The 19,958-nt window shown below is 39.0% G+C and overlaps 1 protein-coding gene across 8 annotated transcripts in view; it reads right to left on the reverse strand.

The window, feature by feature from the left end:
* DHX57 (DExH-box helicase 57) overlaps window positions 1-19,958 on the reverse strand; it is a 78,206-nt gene that overhangs the window by 56,303 nt on the left and 1,945 nt on the right. For 6 of the 8 annotated variants that reach the window (NM_198963.3, XM_011533154.3, XM_011533155.3 and 3 more), the window contains exons 2-9: window positions 14,151-14,380; window positions 9,330-9,488; window positions 8,114-8,302; window positions 6,968-7,806; window positions 4,630-4,805; window positions 2,309-2,430; window positions 1,026-1,221; window positions 23-147 (exon numbers count right to left, since the gene is read on the reverse strand). In NM_198963.3, coding sequence (NP_945314.1) covers window positions 23-147; window positions 1,026-1,221; window positions 2,309-2,430; window positions 4,630-4,805; window positions 6,968-7,806; window positions 8,114-8,302; window positions 9,330-9,488; window positions 14,151-14,374 — 2,030 coding nt within the window. In that variant the 5' untranslated portion in view covers window positions 14,375-14,380. Of the gene's footprint in view, window positions 1-22; window positions 148-1,025; window positions 1,222-2,308; window positions 2,431-4,629; window positions 4,806-6,967; window positions 7,807-8,113; window positions 8,303-9,329; window positions 9,489-13,077; window positions 13,202-14,150; window positions 14,381-19,958 lie in introns of those variants that run through there. The other 2 variants (NM_001329963.1, XM_024453215.1) reach the window with 2 other exon arrangements.

The raw sequence follows: 19,958 nt of genomic DNA on the forward strand, positions 1-19,958 counted from the left end.
CCTGGGAAAGTCTTTGTTTTACCTTTCTTCTGTCCTCTCATGAACTTCATCAACAATGATATGGGAAACTCCTTGTAGAGCTGTATCTCCTTCTAGCCTTCTCAGCAGCACTCCCGTGGTGCAGTATAACAGTCTGGTGGCTGAGGACTTACACATGAAAGGGCAATATAAATCATTAATAAAATTTTCAAAAAAAGGAAACATTACTGGAAAGCCATTTTGAATGGATAGTGATAAAAAATATTGGAAACACCAGCAGTTCCATTTAATAGGAAACCATACTAAACATAGTTTCTTGCCAGGGACAGTAATAAAAGCCTTTCTACTTCATATCACAATGTTAAGATTTTCATAAAAAGCATTAAAAAACAGTGAATAATGAAAACAGTTCTCAATCTGTCTGCTCCTTATTTGGTTAAATGGATTATGTCCCAAGTTCAAGAGCAAAACAGTCTTTACTAGATGACTTCTGCCAATAAAAAATAAAAAGCTTTACAGAGGAAATTTAGTACAACCAAATAAGAGTTTTTTTTTTTTTTTTTTTTTTGAGACAGAATTTTGCTCTTTTTGCCCAGGCTGGAGTGCAATGGCGCAATCTCGGCTCATTGCAACTTCCGTCTCCCAGGTTCAAGGGATTCTCCTGCCTCAGACTCCCGAGTAGCTGGGATTACAGGCGTGTGCCACCACACTTGGCTAATTTTTGTATTTTTAGTAGAGATGGGGTTTCTCCATGTTGGTCAGGCTGGTCTCGAACTCCCGACCTCAGGTGATCCACCTGCCTTGGCCTCTCAAAGTGCTGGGATTACAGGTGTGAGCCACCGCGCCTGGCCATAAGAGTTCTTATACCAAAATATTTCTAAATATTTCTAAATATTTAAATAAATGATTACCAAAGGTAATCATTAATTTAAAAATAACCTGAAAGTATATATCCCAAATTGCCCATGAATCTCCTAACCCCCAAAACTTTTTATACCTAAAAACCATAAATTTCTGTTACCAGGAAATAAGCAGAGCATACAAACCTTGACACTTTCTAACCGAATCTGGTATCCCACGGTCAGACCCACCCTCTCTGCTCTTTCTTTAGCAACGCGTTCAGCAACAGAGATTGCAGAGATTCGTCGGGGTTGGGTACAGATGATGTTGGCTACCTTCTCAGGTGGTCCATTCAGAGAATCATCCAGAATAAACTGCGGAATTTGTGTGGTTTTCCCACATCTGTACATTAAAACAAATAAGTCCTAAAATGAAGTTTTCAAGGGCTAGTTAACTAAAGAAGCAATCATATGGAATGAGAAAAGTGATAAAGCTAATTAGAATAAAAGTTGTTCAGTTTCAGGTATTTTCTAAAACAACCTCCTGACTTATTACCAAGAGGTGGGAAATTCTAGGAATTTGCACTCCAATCAAAAGGACAATCAAATAATAGTTTAGTAACATTTGTAAAATTGGGACTATTGAACAGACATTAAATTAAGGTCTGTAAATGCTTCTAGGAACGTAAACTCTACACATGAACCCCAAAGAAAAGGAGTATTAGCTTATGATTATCAAAATATTTTATAGGTATTAATTTAGCTATGATTAGGCTGAGGTTAAAAAGATAAACTAGAAGGTACGAATTATTACCATATCACTGAGTCTGGACACAAATATAATTATTAAATTGTATACTCTTGAATAAATAAATGAAGTCTGCAATTTGTCCCTGCTAAATAGGAGAATGTAAAGCAGGAAAAATAACGCACCATAATTAAGTTGTTTTTAAAAGAAAAATAAAGGCTGGGTGTGGTGACTCACACCTGTAATCCCAGCACTTTGGGAGACCGAGGCAGGCGGATCACTTGAGGCCAGGAGTTCGAGACCAGCCTGGCCAACATGGTAAAACACCCCTCTCTACTAAAAACACACAAAAATTAGTTGGGTATGGTGGTGCACCACAGTGGTGCGCCTGTCATCTCAGCTACTCGGATGGCTGAGGCATGAGAATCACTTGAACCCAGGAGGCAAAGGTTGCAGTGAGCCGAGATCATGCCACTGCACTCCAGCCTGCGTGACAGGAAATCAGAATAAATTCAGAAGATAAAAAGCTCTCAAGCTAAATGTTCTAGAACTATCCTTTAAATTTAAACATGAGCCTTGTTAAAAGTCTTCAGCTGGATTTTTTTGCCTTATGTCTCAAGGCAGATGTATATAATATCTATAAATCCAGCTACAGTTTTTAACAAGTTCAACTGGTTATGGTAACCAGGGTGCATATAATATTTATAGATGAAAGCTACAGATGAATAAACTGCATTCTTACCCAGTCATACCACTTATGACAACCACCTGGTGCTTACGCAATAAGTTAAGAATGGTTTCTCTTTCTTCCCAAGCAGGGAGTGATTGCCTCTCTTGCAGAATGGACTGGAACTGTCTGGAAGCCTAATAAAATCAAAGATAAGATATCAGTTGGGTTACTTTTTCTTTTTTTTTTTTTTTTTTTGAGACAGGGTCTCACTCTGTTGCCAGGCTGGAGTGCAGTGGTGCGATCACGGCTCACTCCAATCTGCACTTCCCAGGCTCTAGCGATCCTCCCGCCTCAAGCTCCCAAGTAGCTGGGACTACAGGTGTGTGCCACTATACCCGGCTTTTTGTATTTTTTTGTAGAGACAGGACTTCACCATGTTGCCCAGGCTGGCCTCAAACTCCTGTGCTCAAGAATCCACCTGCCTTGGTCTCCCAAAGTGCTGGGATTACAGCTTTTTTTTTTTTTTAATTATAGAGACAGAGTCTTGTTATGTTGCCCTGGATGGTCTTGCACTCCTGGCCTTGAGTGATCCTTTGTTGGATTTGTTGGGATTGGATGTAGAAGACTTTATTCAGAATGCTGCTCAGAGAATCAGCCAGAATGAGTTGTGGAATCTGTACATTAGTTTTCCAACATCTGAATAAACCGAAAGATTTTCTGGGTGAAATAAAGCCCTCTTGCTTAGCACATATCCAGTTCTTCCCAACAAGAGTCTCTATACCAGTACTGTCCAATAGAACTTTCCGTGTTGATGGAAATGTTCTATACCTGTGCTGTCCAATACAGCAACACCTGGCTACATGTGGCTATTGAGCACCTGAAATGTGAAGAATAGTGTTACTGAGGAACTGAATTTTTAATTTTAATTAATTAATATAAACAGCCAAACATGGGTAGGGGCTACCATATCAGACAGCGTAGCTCTAAGCAATATCAGATTTTTACCTAAATCAATAATAGAAAAGCACTCACTAAAGGGTTATTTTTGGGCAGTCACTACAACTATATAAATCAATTTCATATTTAATGGCCAATGCTATAAAAATTGCCTTGTTTGTTAAAACTCTGGCTATACTTTTGAATACTGTAATAAATTTACAGGAACTTGCTATTTCCTACATATAATTTTATCATAAACTTATCACACTGATCAAATTGAATATCTAATTTTTTGTTTCTATCATCTTACCTACAGTGCAATTTATATACATTGTGATGTTCTTTGGGTATTGTACTACATATGTGATGGTGTTACATGGTGTCAAAAATCAGACTCACAGAACTTTAGAACTGGAGGGCCTAGAGAGCATTTAATCCAATTCCCATATTGGTTAAGCAACTTGCCTCTGTCCTATCTCTAACTTTGCCCTCAGGATTCACTTATGAATTCTTTTAAAATAATCTTCATGTGAATGGGGTAAAAACAAAATGGACTTTAGAAACAGAATTGGCTAAACCACTTACTAGCTATGCGATCTTGGGCACATTATTTATCCTTTGAGTCTTTGAAACAGGGTAAAAGTCCTTCCTTATCCTTCTCCTTTTATATATTAATTTTTTCTAAGGTAAATCGCAGTATTTGTTTTGTTTTGTTTTTAGAGACAGGGACTCATTATGTTTTCCAGGCTGGCATTGTCTCAAGTGATCCTCCTGCCTCAGCCTTCCAAGTAGCTGAGACTACAGGCATGTGTTACCACGCCCGCCTGGCTCTAAACCACAGTATTTGTTTTTATTTTGTTTTGTTTTGTTTTTGAGACAGAGTCTTGCTCTGTTGCCCAGGCTGGAGTACAGTGGTGCAATCATGGCTCACTGGAACCTGCACCACCAAAGTTCAAGCAATTCTTGTGCCTCAGCCTCCCAAGTGGCTGGGATTACAGGCACCTGCCACCACGCCCGGCTAATTTTTGTATTTTTAGTAGAGACAGGGTTTTGCCATGTTGGCTAGGGTGGTCTTGAACTCCTGACCTCAGGTGATCTGCCTACCTTGGCATCCCAAAGTGCTGGGATTACAGGTGTGAGCCACCGTGCCCGGCCAGTAAACCACAGTATTGATATTCCTTTTACATACCAGATTGTCTGTCACAGTACCAAAGGCACATGACTCTGAGACTATTTGGCATATATGTGTGTGTTTGCTATGTACCAGCTATAGGATTTTCCAAAACCATCTAGCATATGCACTTAAGTTTGCTGTGGCCTGTAGAAACTTTGACCACTCAGGGAGAAAAAGAACCAGAAGAATTTTAAGGAGGGTAGCCAAAGCTCCCTAATTCCTAATCCCATCATCCAGATATTAGGGAGGCAACGTTACTCATTCTCTCAGCATACCCTACCTGTTTCATTCGGAACTGCTTGCAGATTTTACCATTTTCAGCATGTACTGACTTTGCCTGCCAGTCATATCTTTTGGAAATCTTTTTCTTAAGGTTCACATAGCTTTCATTCTCTACTATAACAGGTGCAGGACCGTCATCCTCATCTGACTCCTCAGATTCTGATGCTTTTTCAACTTGAAGGAAATAAAAGAAAACATTTCAGTATGGAGCCCTTTCTTTAACAAAAGGGGAAAGTCGCTGTCTAACAGAGTATCAACAACAAAAAGTCAAAATGGAGAAAAAGTGAAAACTTGAATAAAGTAAGTTCATTCATTTCTAGTATTTCTATTTCTAAAGAACTTAAAATGCATCCTCAAATAAACTTTTATCAAGCACAAACAAAGTAATTAGCATTAAAAGAATTAGCAGTGAATGTTTCAACTGTACGCAAGTGTCCCCAAATCCCACAACGTAAAACAACACAAATATCTATCAAATGATGAATCAATGAACAAAATGTGGTATGTCCACATAATAGAATATTATTCACTAATAAAAAGGAATGATGTAGTGATATGTGCTAGAACACGGATGAACCTTGAACACATTAGCTAAGTGAAAGAAGCCCATCTCAAAAAGCTGCATATTGTGTAATTCCATTTCTATGAAATGTCCAGAGTAGGCAAATCCATAGAGATAGACAGCAGATTTGTGGTTATGAGGGGCTGGGGGAAGGGGAAAATGAGGAGAGACTGCTATGGGTACATGGGTACAGGGTTTCTTTTGGGGTTGATGATAACGTCCAGGGATTAAAAGGTGGTTATTGTTGCATAATTCTATAAAAATACTAAAAACCATTGAATTGTGTATTTTAAAAGAGTGAATTTTATGGTATATAAATTATGTCTCAATAAAACTATTATTTTAGAAAAAAAGTGCATGACACATAATTTTCATTTCCCAAGGAACACATTTGAATCCCATGCGCTAGAAGCTGCCATCTGGGAGTGGGTCGGGTGGTTAGTGAGTGAATCTGGCTAAATGACCAGCAGCCACATCTCAGAACAGTGTCACTGTTCTCTACTCATTGAAGTTTACCCAAGGACTCTCATGAAATAATACAAACTTTTGTTTCTCTGGAAGAAAGATAGATGGCAACCAATAAAAGAGGATCCTTTTTTTTTTTTTTTTAATTAAGAAATAGAGTCTCACTCTGTCTCCAAGGCCGAAATGCAATGACTCACTGCAGCTTCTACCTCTGAGGCTGAAGTGATTCCCCCACATCAGCCTCTTGAGTACCTGGGACTCAGAGGAGTGCACAACCATGGCTGACTAGCTAAGAAAATATATATATTTTCTAGAGATGGGGTCTCATTATGCTGCCCAGGCTGGTCTCAAACTCCTGGGGTCAAGCAGTGCTCTCACTTCAGCCTCCCAAAGTGCTGGGATTACAGGCATGAGCCACCACACCCAGCAGAGAATTCTTTGAAAGGGGCTTACTTGTGGTGTAAGAATCTGCATAGCAGCCCATGTGCGATGGCTCACGCCTGTAATCCCAGCACTTTGGGAGGCCAAGGCAGGCGGATCACCTGAGGTCAGGAGTTCAAGACCAGCCTGGCCAACATGGTGAAACCCTGTCTTACTAAAAATAGAAAAATTAGCCAGGCGTGGTGGCGGGTGCCTGTAATCCCAGCTACTCAGGAGGCTGAGGCAGGAGAATCGCTTGAACCTGGGAGTCAGAGGTTGCAGTGAGCTGAGATCATACCACTGCACTCCAGCTTGGGGGACAAGAGTGAAACTCCATCTTAAAAAAATAAAAATAAAAAGAATTTGCACAGTAAACCTAGATCTAGACAAAGCTAGAAGCCTGCACAAGTATTTGAGGATTTAGGGATTCATAGAGCTATCCCTAAAGAATTCTGGGGGTCTAGTACACCAAAAGCAGGAGGGTATGGATAGTGGTATAGAAAGCAAAATATCTCTAAAAATTCATTTGAAAGTAATTCAGTATACAGTATAAGAAGTAAACAAAAGAAAACCAAATGAATTAAATAAAACAGATTTTCTGAGAACGTACCTTAAGGTCCTTCCAAGCCTCGGATTTTATATAGTTAAACATACGTCACTACAAACTTTCAACTCAGGGAGCCCAACCACAGCAACACAATTGAGCCTTACAATTAAAGTCAGATACAATTACAGTTCAGGGAATTCTCATTCCCTTTTGCCCTTGGGACTTAATGGCTTGTTCAGCTTGTTCAAGATCACTAAGCCATCCTAGACCAGCCTTAAAGGCTTTGACTTCTAAACCCATCATTCTGAATGCCTCCCTCCACAAGATCAATGCCTTACATACCTTCTGGAATTTGATTAGAAACAAAAGAATTATTTGGAATCACTGTTTTATGACAGGCAGGATTATTTATTCTGGTCCTAGAGGGTACTGGCAGAAAGTTCACAGGAGGGTCACTATACTTGTGGTGGGTATTCGTTAGTAACTTGACTATTTCCGACTCTTCCTCTAAAAGGGTTATCAAAGAATATACGACAGGTTCCGAAGTTTCCGCAAATGTCAAGGCCTTGTCATAAAGAAACTCAGAAATATGTAAACGACAAGCCAGAGGTAGGTTCTCATTGGTGGAATAAAATGCCACGAGCGGAGCTTGGTAGGGATATTTGTGGTCTTTAGAAAATCGAATTTCAAGTTCATATAAAAAAGATGCATCTTCAATAGCATTAAGATGAGAATCATCTACACTTCTTTCTATTCTTCCAACAATTTGATTTGGGGGCACTTCATGTTTGAATCTGCATTTTGATCCAAATTTACAATTTCCTTTGAGGTAAAATTTACAGATTTCAAGTGAATTCTCTTGTACATTTTTGGTACTTTCTTTTGGCTTGGATTTGCGGAATCTACTTGTCAGATACTCCAGTTCTAACCCAATGGTCCAGACTCTGTTCTGAATTCTTTCTATAAATTTTTCTCCACAGATGGACTTGAGAGCAAATGCCTCTTCCTGTCGCTGTTCCATACACTCATCCAAGCTTATCTGGTTGACTGCCTCAGAGATCTTCATCCTCTCTCCAAATGTCTCTGAAAAACACTGGGTAAGGAGATGCTCTAGTGATGCTCCCACATCTCCATCACACATCCTCAGGACCGCTTGACAGCGTTCAGTATTGAAACCATACCTGTCAAGGGCAAAACATGACAAAAATGACACATAAAAAGCAGTATCACACCATTACAGTAAAATTCATTTAAATATGCTTAGATGAAGTTATGACTACACATAGGCAGGGCTTGTATTTTGAAAAAGCATCCCTGATAACAATAAGCCCCCCTGAATGACCCCTTCTGATAAGATAGAATATTAGGCCTATCAGGCATTGCTGGAACCCACATAATAGGAAAGTACACAAAGAGGGGTAGTGGGTTTATATGATTTCGGTTTCCTTGAATTCTTTCCCAACTCCCATAAATGATCAAAGCAATCACCTGGAAAGTTTTTGCACTGCAAATGGGGAGACTGTAAATTCTGGAACATAAGGCTCCACTGAGGCTAAGCCAGCATATTCCAAAGGATCCAAGTCGGGAACGAGGGAAGGTTCCTGTCCAGCTGGCCAGTACCGCTCATCGTTACAGCAATCAGGCTCATCATCTTCCTCCTCCCCAGAAAGGCCTCTTCTAGCAAAGGCAACATTTTCATATATTAGATATTACTTTCTACTTACTTCAAAGAAAAATTTAGCAAAGGTCTAAGAATTTAATTCATAGGATCCTGACTACTCTTCAGTTGCTGATTTAATCTTATATTGAACTATTAATTTATATCTTGGCAATTAACATTTACCAGGCATTTATTAAATACCAGTTACTGTGTTAAGTGCTTTATATGAACTAACTCCTTTAATCTTCCCAATAACTGTACCAAATACTACTGGAATGTCCTTTTTTTTTTTTTTTTCTAGATGATCAACTAAAACTCAGAGAGGATTAGTAACTGCCTAGGTTACACATTAAGGAGCAAATAGAGATTTTGCCAAAGGCAGACAGATTCCTGTGTTCTTAACCACAGAAACCTTGGCTATTCTCTCTCTTCTCATTCATAAAAACACTATCCCTAATTGTTTGTTTTGCTACATAATCTCCCTTTCTAAATCTAAAACAGATAAGAGATTTGTAGATAGGATGGAAAATGAGCTGTTCATGACTGGCCACTAATTAATTTTGGTAAATGGAAAGAAGGAATTAACTTCTCCAACTGAAATCCAAAGCAAAAGAGCCGAAATGCAGTAGAGTGGGAAACGAATAAGATTTAAGAGTAAAAGCTTTCTCTTAGGCAGACAGTCATGACAAGCAAATCCTAAGACTGCACCTGACCGAGTCAATATTTGCTCATTCAACACTACTTCTACTTGTTCATTACAAGGGTTTATCTGGAAGGTTACAGATAAATCAGTTACTGAATCCATATGAGCACTGCCCTGGAAAAAAATAAAGATAAAAAGGCAATCCCATGGATGTTGCAAAACAAACTCACTCTAAAATTGTGGCTGAATAATTATTCTTGTATTACTCTTGGCTCACTTTCAACTAATTAAATGGCCACAATAGAATCAGTACTGACACAGCATTCCAAAGATGCACAGGACCTTCACACTGCCAGTATGTTTTCCTTAATATAATAATTGACTCAAATAAAACAATTTACTCAGATCCAGCATCAGCATCTTGTTCTTGCAGGTCTCGGAGAAGAGCTTTCACTTTCTCTTGATTCTCAGAAGTCATATGTAGAGTCTGAAGGGGTACTTTGGCTTTGGGTTTCCATTTTGGGCGTGACTCTCCTTTGCTTATGTTACTGTTGCTAGGTCTATAGAGAACAAAAGAGCAAAATTACACACATATCTTCAATCAGAACTTTTACACTCTCCTCAGGGGTCCCCAGATATACACAATACAAACTGGATTGTCAAGTATCTTACAAAAGATGACAATGAATGTGAGGAGATTCTCCATTTTCTATAGTATTTACCAGACTTCATTATATCAGACCTGCTGGAAAAAAACCTTATCAGATTCTTGGCCAGGCGCAGTGGCTCACGCCTGTAATCCTGGCACTTTGGGAGGCCGAGGCTGGCGGATCACCTGAGGTCAGGAGTTTCAGACCAGCCTGGCCAACATGGTGAAATGCTGTCTCTACTAAAAATACAAAAATTATCTGGGCGTGGCAGTGCGCTCCTGTAATCCTAGCTACTCAGGAGGCTGAGGCAGGAGAATCACTTGAACTTGGAGGTAGAGGTTGCAGTAAGCCAAGATTGTGCCACTGCACTACAGCCTGGGCAACAGAGCGAGATTCCGTTTAAAAAAAAAAAAAACAACAAAACTTAACAGATTCTTAATCATTAATTCTGGCTTCACTAACTCAAGAATCCTTAGGAAAAAGCAATGCTAATGATGGTTTCCTCTGCACTATAGGACATGAAGAGCATTTCATTTCATTCTGCATTAAAATCTGAAAACCACTGAGTTTCATTCTTCCTTGTGAATATTAAGGCCCCATTTCTAAAATACCCAATTATCTTTATTTCTGATTATTAAAAAAAAAAAAAAAAAGGCCAGGGGCATTGGCTCACACCTGTAATTCCAGCACTTTAAGAGGCTGAAGTGGTAGGATTGCTTAAGCCCCAGGAGTTCGAGACCAGCCTGGGCAATATAGCAAGATCCTGTCTCTATTTAAAAAAAAAGAAATAAAAAAATTACACAGCATATATAATCTCTTATGATTTGTCTGATCATTAGGAAATGATCAGTTAAACATGAGGGGGAGTTGGGAGTTTCACATGCTCCTATCTTAAAGTCATCCTTTATCTTAAAGTCAGCCTTTCTATTTGTAAACTATATGCCAATCTCTTTAATCTCCTCAAGGAAATCATTCCAGCACTTATCCCCCTTTCTAAATCACTGGTTTTTCATTCTTCTTTGGATCATTCCCATCAGCATACAGACATACTATAAGGTCTACCCTCTTAAAAAAATGAAACCAAGCCAAATCCTCCCTTGAGTGCACATCTCCCTGTAGCTACTGACCCATCTCTCCTCCCTCTAGCTCCCTTATAGTAAAACTTCTCATTTAGGTTATCAAAATCATTGTCTCTGTCTCCATTTTCTTTCCTCTTCTCTCTGAAACACAACCCAATCAGTATTTCCTATGCTACTACAGCTCTTGTCAAGGTTAACCATGATACCCACATTGTCAAATGCAGTGGACAATTCTTAGTGCACATTTTCCTTGACCTACCAGAAGCATTTTTCCACAAATGTGTACCCTCTTTAAGCATACAATTCGATCTTATTGGCTACTCTCCTTTAAAACACCTTTGTCCCTTGGCTTCCAAAAACCACTCTCTTAGTTTCCTACTTCATTGGCAGCTCCTTCTCAATCCCCTTTGTTTTTCATACTTTCTCTTAGCTTTATTTATTTTTTAACTAAAAATTTTTATTGACACATAATAATTGTACATTCTTTATACGGTTGATAATGGTTTGGCTGCAAGTCAAATCTCATCTTCAATTGAAGTTCCCATAATCCCCACATGTTATGGGAGGGAACCGGTTGGAGGTAGTTGAATCATGGGGGCAGTCTCCCCCATGCTATTCTCGTGATAGTGAGTAACTTCTCACGAGATCTGATGGTTTTATAAGGGGTGTCCCCCTTTACTTGGCTCTCATTCTTCTTTCTCCTGCCACCTTGTGAAGAAGGATGCTTTTGCTTCCCCTTTCAGCATGATTGTAAGTTTCCTGAGGCCACCCCAGCCCTGTGGTACTGTGAGTCAATTAAACCTCTTTCCTTTATAAATTACTCAGTCTTGGGTATGTCCTTATAGCAGCGTGAGAATGGACTAATACAGGGGTACATGTGCTATTTTGATACATGCATACAATGTGTAGTGATCAAATCAGGGTAATTAGGATATCTAACACCTCACACATTTATCATTTCTTTGTGTTGGGAACATTCCAAATTCTCTTAGCTTTAAAACCTAGAGTGTCCCAGGGCTCAAACATCAGATACCTTCTCTATTCGATTTTATCCAGACTCAGAACTTTAGCATTTATCTATAGAAGACTCACACATTTACATCTCCAGCCTAGATCTTTTTCTTGAACCTCAGATTTATATATTAAATTATCTATTTTATATCTACACTTGGAGAACATCTCCTAACTGGTCTCCTTGCTTTCAACTCATGCCCCTTTATAGTTTATTCTCTACAAAGCACACCCAGTCAATGCTATTGAGTATAGATTCATAGACTGTACACTGCACAAAGGTTCCTGGCTGGGAGGGAAGAAGAGGGAGGAAGGGACAGCAAAATCCGGTCCATGTTCTGCTGGCTAAGCCATGATCCTGGTGTGGGGCTATAACTGTCCAAAGGAAGGAGCACCATTTTCTAATTCACATAAAGGCATACACTGAATAGAAACAACTCTGGCCAGACTGACTGATAATATCACACACCCTTGCCTCAAACCCTCCAAAGGCCTTCTGTCTTACTTCATGTAAAAGCCAAAGTCCTAATAATGGCCCATGAAGTCCTATACAGTCTGGTCTTTCTGATCTAATTGCCTACCACTTGCCTTCTTGCCCACTCATTCTAGCCACATGGTTCTTTGCTATTTCCTAAACCTTCCAAGCACATTCTTGCCTTAAGAAATTGCTCTTCCCTCTGCCTTGAATGCTGTACTCAGAACTTCACAGCTTATTCCTTTACTTACTTCTTGCCTCTCTTCACGTGATACCTTATTAGGGGGGCTTTCTACATAAATTAACAATTCTATTTTGGTATTTTATATCCCTGTTACACTCCTTTATTTCTCTCCATAGCATGCGGCACCTGGTAATGTTATACATTTGTTTATGGTTTTTCTATCTCAAATCCCATTCTATCTAGATAAGGACAATATTTTACTCCCTGCTGCAATTCCAAGTCCCTAAAACAGTGCCTGGTGCATGGTAGGCATTCAGTAAATACTTACCAAATGAATGAACATCTACGGACTCCAAGAACCTATAATGTCCATGTTTTGAAAAACTATGGAGCTGCAGCTAACTCAGAAGTTAGGTTCTTGGCTAGGCACAGTGGCTCACGCCTGTAATTCCAACACTATGGGAGGCCAAGGCAGGAGAATCGCTTGAGCCCAGGAGTTCAAGACCAGCCTGGGCAACATAGAGAGACTATGCTGCTTGCTATTTATAAAGTCTATAGTAGTGTACAGTAATATCCCTAGGCCTTCACATTCACTCACCACTTCCTCACTGACTCACCCAGAGCAAAATCCAGTCCTGCAACTTCCATTCACGGTAAGTGCCCTACATAGGTATCATTTTTAATCTCTTATACTCTATTTTTACTATACCTTTTCTACAACTAGACATGTTTAGATACACAAATACTTACCATTGTGTTATAATTGCTTAGAGTATTCAGTACAGCAACATGCTGTATAGATTTGTAGTCTAGGAGCAATTGGCTACATCATACAGCCTAGGTGTGTTGTAGGTTGTACCATCTGGGGTTGTGTAAGTACATTCTATGATGTTTGCACAACAATGAAATTGCCTAACAATGCATTTTTCAGAACACATCTCTGTCACTAAGTGATGCCTAATTGTAGTTATACTGTATAACATGCAATAGCAAAACATTTACTTTTATTAAATACTCATTAGAATTACTAGAATTCCCATAATTTATTCATTAGTTAAAAGTTGAACAGGAGAGAAACCTAGATAAGGCATCTGTTACTGGTCACCACATGTAACACCATCAGATGATGGCTGATTTGGCTGGAAAATACACAGCTCATCAACTAGAAAGACACAGTACAGTCATGTTGCACTTTAGGCTGTTCAATGTTTGTTTTTTGAGATGGAGTCTCACTCTGTCACCCAGGCTGGAGTGCAGTGGTGTGATCTCAGCTCACTGCAACTTCTGCCTCCTGGGTTCAAGCAATTCTCCTGCCTCAGCCTCCCTAGTACCTGGGATTACAGGTGACTGCCACCATGCCTGGCTAATTTTTGTATTTTAGTAGAGACAGGATTTCACCCTATTGGCCAGGCTGGTCTCGAACTCCTGACCTCAAGCGATCCACACACCTGGGCCTCCCAAAGTGATGGGATTACAGGTGTGAGCCACCGTACCTGTCCATGTTCAATGTTAACATCATCATTTTAACATCAGTCTATGATGCATAAGGAATACTTAAAATAATTTTCATCACACTATTTCTGTATTTACTTTCCTAGTAACACTGGGTATAATAGCAGTATTACACTCAATTCACAGTGTCATGCAACCTACATACACACAAAAGCTGTTATTTCCCATCATGTCTTCAGAAAAGGGTTACAAAGAGGAAGACAATTTGACCAGAATTACTCGACTTTTTTTCCATTCTCAGCCATCTGTTGTCCCATACATTAGGGGTTGATACCATTTCCATATTTAAACATTCAAAGAGTTATAATGACCTGGAAGGGCGCCTTGATTCACTGAAGATACAAAAGTCATCTCCATCATCCCATATTCTACTGGAGGCCTTTCTGTTGCCGCCACCTCCACCACCACCACCACCGCCACCGCCACCACTCCCATGAGATTTACTGGCGTGACTCCTGCCTCCTCTTCCTCCTCTAGAAGACCCTTTTCCACCTCCTTTGCCTGGCTTGCCTTTTCTTCTTACTGAAGAACTCATTTTCACCTGCAAGAGAAAAAAATTAATGTAGACATCATAAAACCAGACATGTATGATAATCCTTTGTTTGCCAAACTTATGAATATAGGCTACTTTAAAGAAACAAAGGAAAATGCATATGTAAAAAGAGCTGGTCTTGGGGCAGGATTCTGAATCTGTTCCAGTGAAAAAATTTTAAAACTACAAAATAAAAAGAGCCAGCCAGTTTAGGGATAGTATGGATAAATCTTCACAAAAGATTTATAAGCACTTCTACCTCAGGACTAATATTTAGTGAATGTCTCTGATACAGATTTCTAAACTAAAGATGTACATCATAAACACATGGAGAAGTGTCAAAATACACATGTCTAGGCTTTAATCCTAGATTCTCATTTGGTTAGGTCTAATTTAGAGTTTTATTTATTTATTTATTTATTTATTTAGAGATGGAGTCTTGCTCTGTCGCCCAGGCCGGATGATCTCAGCTCACTGCAACCTCTGCCTCCTGGGTTCAAGCAATTCTCCTACCTCAGCCTCTGGAGTAGCTGGGACTACAGGCGCCTGCCACCACGCCCAGCTAATATTTGTATTTTTAGTAGAGATGGGATTTCACCATGTTGGCCAGGCTGGTCTCGAACTCATGACCTCAAGTGATCTGCGCACCTCAGCATCCCAAAGTGCTTGGATTACAGGTGTGAGCCACTGCACCCAGCCTAGCATAGGATTTTAAAAATCCAGTTGAGAAGTTTTCATGTATTTAATATATGTTTTGACAAAATTTAAATTTATATATGCTCTATCAGGAACACAGCTTGGGCTCAGAGATTCTGCCAAGGGCAAAAGGGAAGTAGGCCGTAAGACAGATAGCTCCTAATCTTTTTCCAAAGGACTGACTCCATTTACAATGGAGTGTGGAGAAGTTCAAACCTAAAGGTGCTTTCAAGAATAGTGAGGTTGTGGGGAAAGGGAGATTACAGGATTAAATGAAGATGTAGTTTAGACTGTTGGCCAACTAGTTTGCAGGAAGCAAACCAAGGAATAAGATCACTAGGAAGTTCCTTTTTGGGATTAGAATGAGTATTAAACTGGGATCTCAGAAACTATTGCTTCAAAGAAGCCATACTTTGGTTGGATTAGTTTGTAAAGGAATTTACTCTCCAGAGCATTGTTGAAAACAATTCAGCAATCAACCATGGGCATACCTAAAGCTGTACCTCCCAGAGGAGCAACAACAGAGGCTTAAAATCGTAGGAGGGAAATAGACTTCACTAAAATATTCTAGCCAGTCACTAAAAATTAAACCAGCAAATAACAATAAGAAGCCCCTGAAAGGGGAGAATCAGTACCCAGAGTTGTTACAGTATGTTATCCAAAATGTTCAGTTAACAACAAAAAAGTCACAAGGCATGCAAAGAAACACTTAAGTATAACCCATACACTGGAGAGAAAAAGCACAAACTGCCTATGAGTGAGAACAGATGTCAGATTTAACAGAAAAGGAGTTCAAAATAGTCATTATAAGTATGTTCACAGAAATAAAGGAATGCACAATTAAAGCAGTAAAGGAAGGTATGATGACAATGTCATATCAAATTGAGAACATCAATAAAGAGATAAAAAATTATATATATAAAAAGAACCAAATGGGAATTCTGGAGTTGAAAAGTATACTAATTGAAATTAAAAATTCACTAGAGAAGCTCAACCATAAACATGAACTAGCAAGAGAAAGAACTGATGAACTTGAAGACAGACTGACATTGATTATGCAAGCTGAAAACAGAGAGAACGATAAATGAAGAAAAGTGAACAGAGCCTTGGAAAAATGTGGGACACCATCAAGGGTACCATATACATATAATGAGAATACCAGAAGGAAAGGAAAGAAAGAAAAGAGCAGAAAAAATATTCAAAGAAATAATGGTAGAAAACTTCTCTGATTCATTAAAAATCAATAACCTCTACATGCAGGAAGCTCAATGGCCTCCAACTATTAGAAAATAAACACAGAGATGCACAAAATAGACATGTTGCAATAAAAATGTTGAAGGTCAAAAGACAAAGAGAAAATCATGAAAGGAGTAAGAGAAAAACAACTTATCACTTACAGGGGGGAACCCCAATAAAATTAATGACTGATTTCTTCACAGAAACAATGGAGGGCAGAAGGTAATGACATATATATTTAAAATACTCAAAGAAAAAAATAGGGCTGGGCGTGGTGGCTCATGCCTGTAATTCCAGCACTATGGGAGGCCAAGGCGGGCAGATCACGAGGTCAGGAGATCGAGACCATCTTGGCTAACACAGTGAAACCCTGTCTCTACTAAAAATACAAAAAATTAGCTGGGTGTGGTGGCACACACCTGTAGTCCCAGCTGCTTCGGAGGCTGAGGCAGGAGAATCACTTGAACATGGGAGACAGAAGATGCAGTGAGCCGAGATTGCGCCACTGCACTCCAGCCTGGGTGACAGAGTGAGACTCCATCTCAAAAAAACAAAAAACAAAAAACAAAAAAAAAACAACAAAAAATAGTTAACCAAAAATCCAGAAAAGCTATCTTTCAAAAATGAAGGTAAAATGAAAACTTTCTCAGACAAACAAAACTGAGAGAATTTGTTGTCAATAGACCCGCCTCACAAGAAATACTAACAGTTCTTCAAGTTGAGGCAAGTATCCCTGGATGGTAATTTAAATCTACATGAAAAAACAAAGAGTACTAGTAAAGGTAATTGAGTAATTATTTTTAAAAATCCACATTTATATTGGACATTTATTTATTTGAAAACCAGTACAAAAGTATTGTCTCTTCTTTTCTCTGAAATGATTTAAAAAGCAGTTATATAAAATAATATGTATATGATATAATGTTGGGCATGTCACCTACAAGAAGGTAATATGTATGTAATATATTTGCCAATAACAGCACAAAGAAGATTGGTGGGAGCGTAATTGTGCTGTGCTGAGAAAATGACTACAGACAGTAAAGTAATACTTGTAACAAGTATAGTTGGGTATATAACATTAATAGATATAATATGTATAACAATACTATAAAAAGGAGGAAAGGAATAGAGCTATATAAAAGTAATACTTCTATGTATCTGTCTTAGTCTGTTTTCTGCTATAACAGAATGCCACAGACTAGGTAATTTATAAACAACAGAAGTTTATTTGTCTCATGGTAATGGAGGCTGGGAAGTCCAAGAGCATGATGCTGGCATCTGCGTAGTGTCATCTCATGGTGGAAGATGGAAGGCAGAAGTGGGCACGATACAGAGAGAGGTACCAGCTGCCAGACTTATTTTATAATAACTCATTCTTTTTTTTTTTTTTTTGAGACAGTCTCACTCTGTTGCCCCAGCTGGAGTGCAGTAGCGTGGTCTCAGCTTACTGCAAGGTCTGCCTCCCTGGTTCATGCCATTCTTCCACCTCAGCCTCTGGAGTAGCCGGGACTACAGGTGACCGCCGCCGGCTAAGTTTTTGTTTTTTTGTATTTTTAGTAGAGACAGGGTTTCACCATGTTAGCCAGGATGGTCTCGATCTCTTGACCTTGTGATCCGCCTGCCTCGGCCTCCCAAAGTGCTGGGATTACAGGCGTGAGCCACCGCGCCCGGCCTAATAACTCATTCTTGCTATAACTAACCCACTCCCATGCTAGTGACATTAAACCATTAATAAGGGCTCTGCCCTCATGATCGAATTACCTGTTATTAGGCCCCATCTCCTAACACTGTTGCATTGGAAATTAAATGTCTAATACATGAACTTTGGGGGTAAACATTCAAACCATAGCAATATTGCTGGAATTAAGCTAATATAAATCTGAAGTTGTTCATAAACCCCAAAGCAATCACAAAAATACTACATTAGAAAATATTCACTTAATGACTAAATGCAAATGAAAGCATAAAGTAAGAACAGAAGAAAAAATAGACATTGAGAAATACAGACATCCAAAAGTAGAATAGAGTTAGATGTAATTCTCAGTATATAGACAATAAAAATAAATGTGAGAGAATAAAGCAGTCCAATCAAAAGACAGAGATTGTCAGACTTGATTAACAAACAGGATCCAAATATATTCTGTCTGCAGGAGAGGCACTTTAAATTCAAAGACACAATAAATGAAAAGTAAAAGGATGGAAAAAGATGATCTTGCAAACAGCAACTACAAGAAAGGTGGAGTGGCTATGTTAATAGCTTACAAAACAGACTTTAAAGCAAAAAATATTACTAGAGATAGGGATATTTCTTAATGATAAAAGGGTTAATCTGCCAGGAAATGATAACAATTAAAAACACATATGTACCTAATAATAAGGCACCAAAATACACAAAGCAACAACTGACAGAAATGAAGGGAGAATTAGACAATTCAATAATAATAGTAGGAGACTACAGTACCTCACTTTTAATGGTAGAACAACTAGACAGAGGATCAACAAGGAAATAAAAGACTTGAACAACACTCTAACCAACTAGACCTAATAGGTGTCTATAGAACACTCCACCCAACAACGAACTATACATACTTCTGAAGTACACATGAAACATTTTCCAGGATATAGACCATACTAGGTGATAAAAGAAACCTCAATACATTTTTTTTTTTTTAAGACAGAGTCTTGCTCTGTCGCCCAGGCTGGAGTGCAGTGGCACAATCTTGGCTCACAGCAACCTCCGCCTCCCAGGTTCAAGCGATTCTCCTGCCTCAGCCTCCCGAGTAGCTGGGACTACAGGCACCCGCCACCATGCTCCCTGACTAATTTTTGTATTTTTAGTAGAGATGGTGTTTCACCATGTTGGTCAGGCTGGTCTCGAATTCCTGACCTCAGGTGATCTGTCCACCTTGGCCTCCCAAAGTGCAGGGATTACAGGCGTGAGCCACTGTGCCCAGCCATAAACCTCAATAAATGTAAAAAGAAAGAAATAATATGAACTATGTTCTCCAACCAAAATGGAATTAGAAATCAAAAGCTAGAAAAAATTTGGGAAACTCACAAATATGTGTATATTAAACTAGGTCTTCCTAGGTATTCCTTTCTTCAAAATTGCTGATGATTATACATATGTATTCAGAGTTTATCTTAAGTTTGTCTCTCCTTTCTACTCCCAGAAAGCTCTTTGAAAACAAGACTATGTCTATTTTGATTACCACTGTACCCTTAACACAGTGTCTAGCATATGGTAGGAATTCAGTATCTATTTGTGGAATGAATGATTGAAGGTTGAAAAAATGACTTATGTGGGAATGGAGATTTGTTCATCTATTTATTCATTCCACAAATATTTATTGAGCACTTATTATGTGCCAGATCCTGGGGATATAACAGCAAAAAAGACAAAATTTCTGCTTCATGAAGCTTACCTTCTAGAGGGTAACACAGACATTAAACAAATAGATATATATTATAACTTAAGTGCTATCAAGGAAAAAAAACCCCCGAGGCAGTTATTTTAGATAGAGTGGTTGGGTAAGGCCTCTTTGAGATTTTAAAGGACATCCGGAAGAAATTGACAGAATGAGCCATGAAATAGTCATCCCTCGGTATACACAGGGGATTGGTTCCAGAACCCCCATGTATACCAAAATCCACG

This window comes from Homo sapiens, chromosome 2, assembly GCF_000001405.40.
Source record: "Homo sapiens chromosome 2, GRCh38.p14 Primary Assembly".
NCBI lineage: Eukaryota > Metazoa > Chordata > Mammalia > Primates > Hominidae > Homo > Homo sapiens.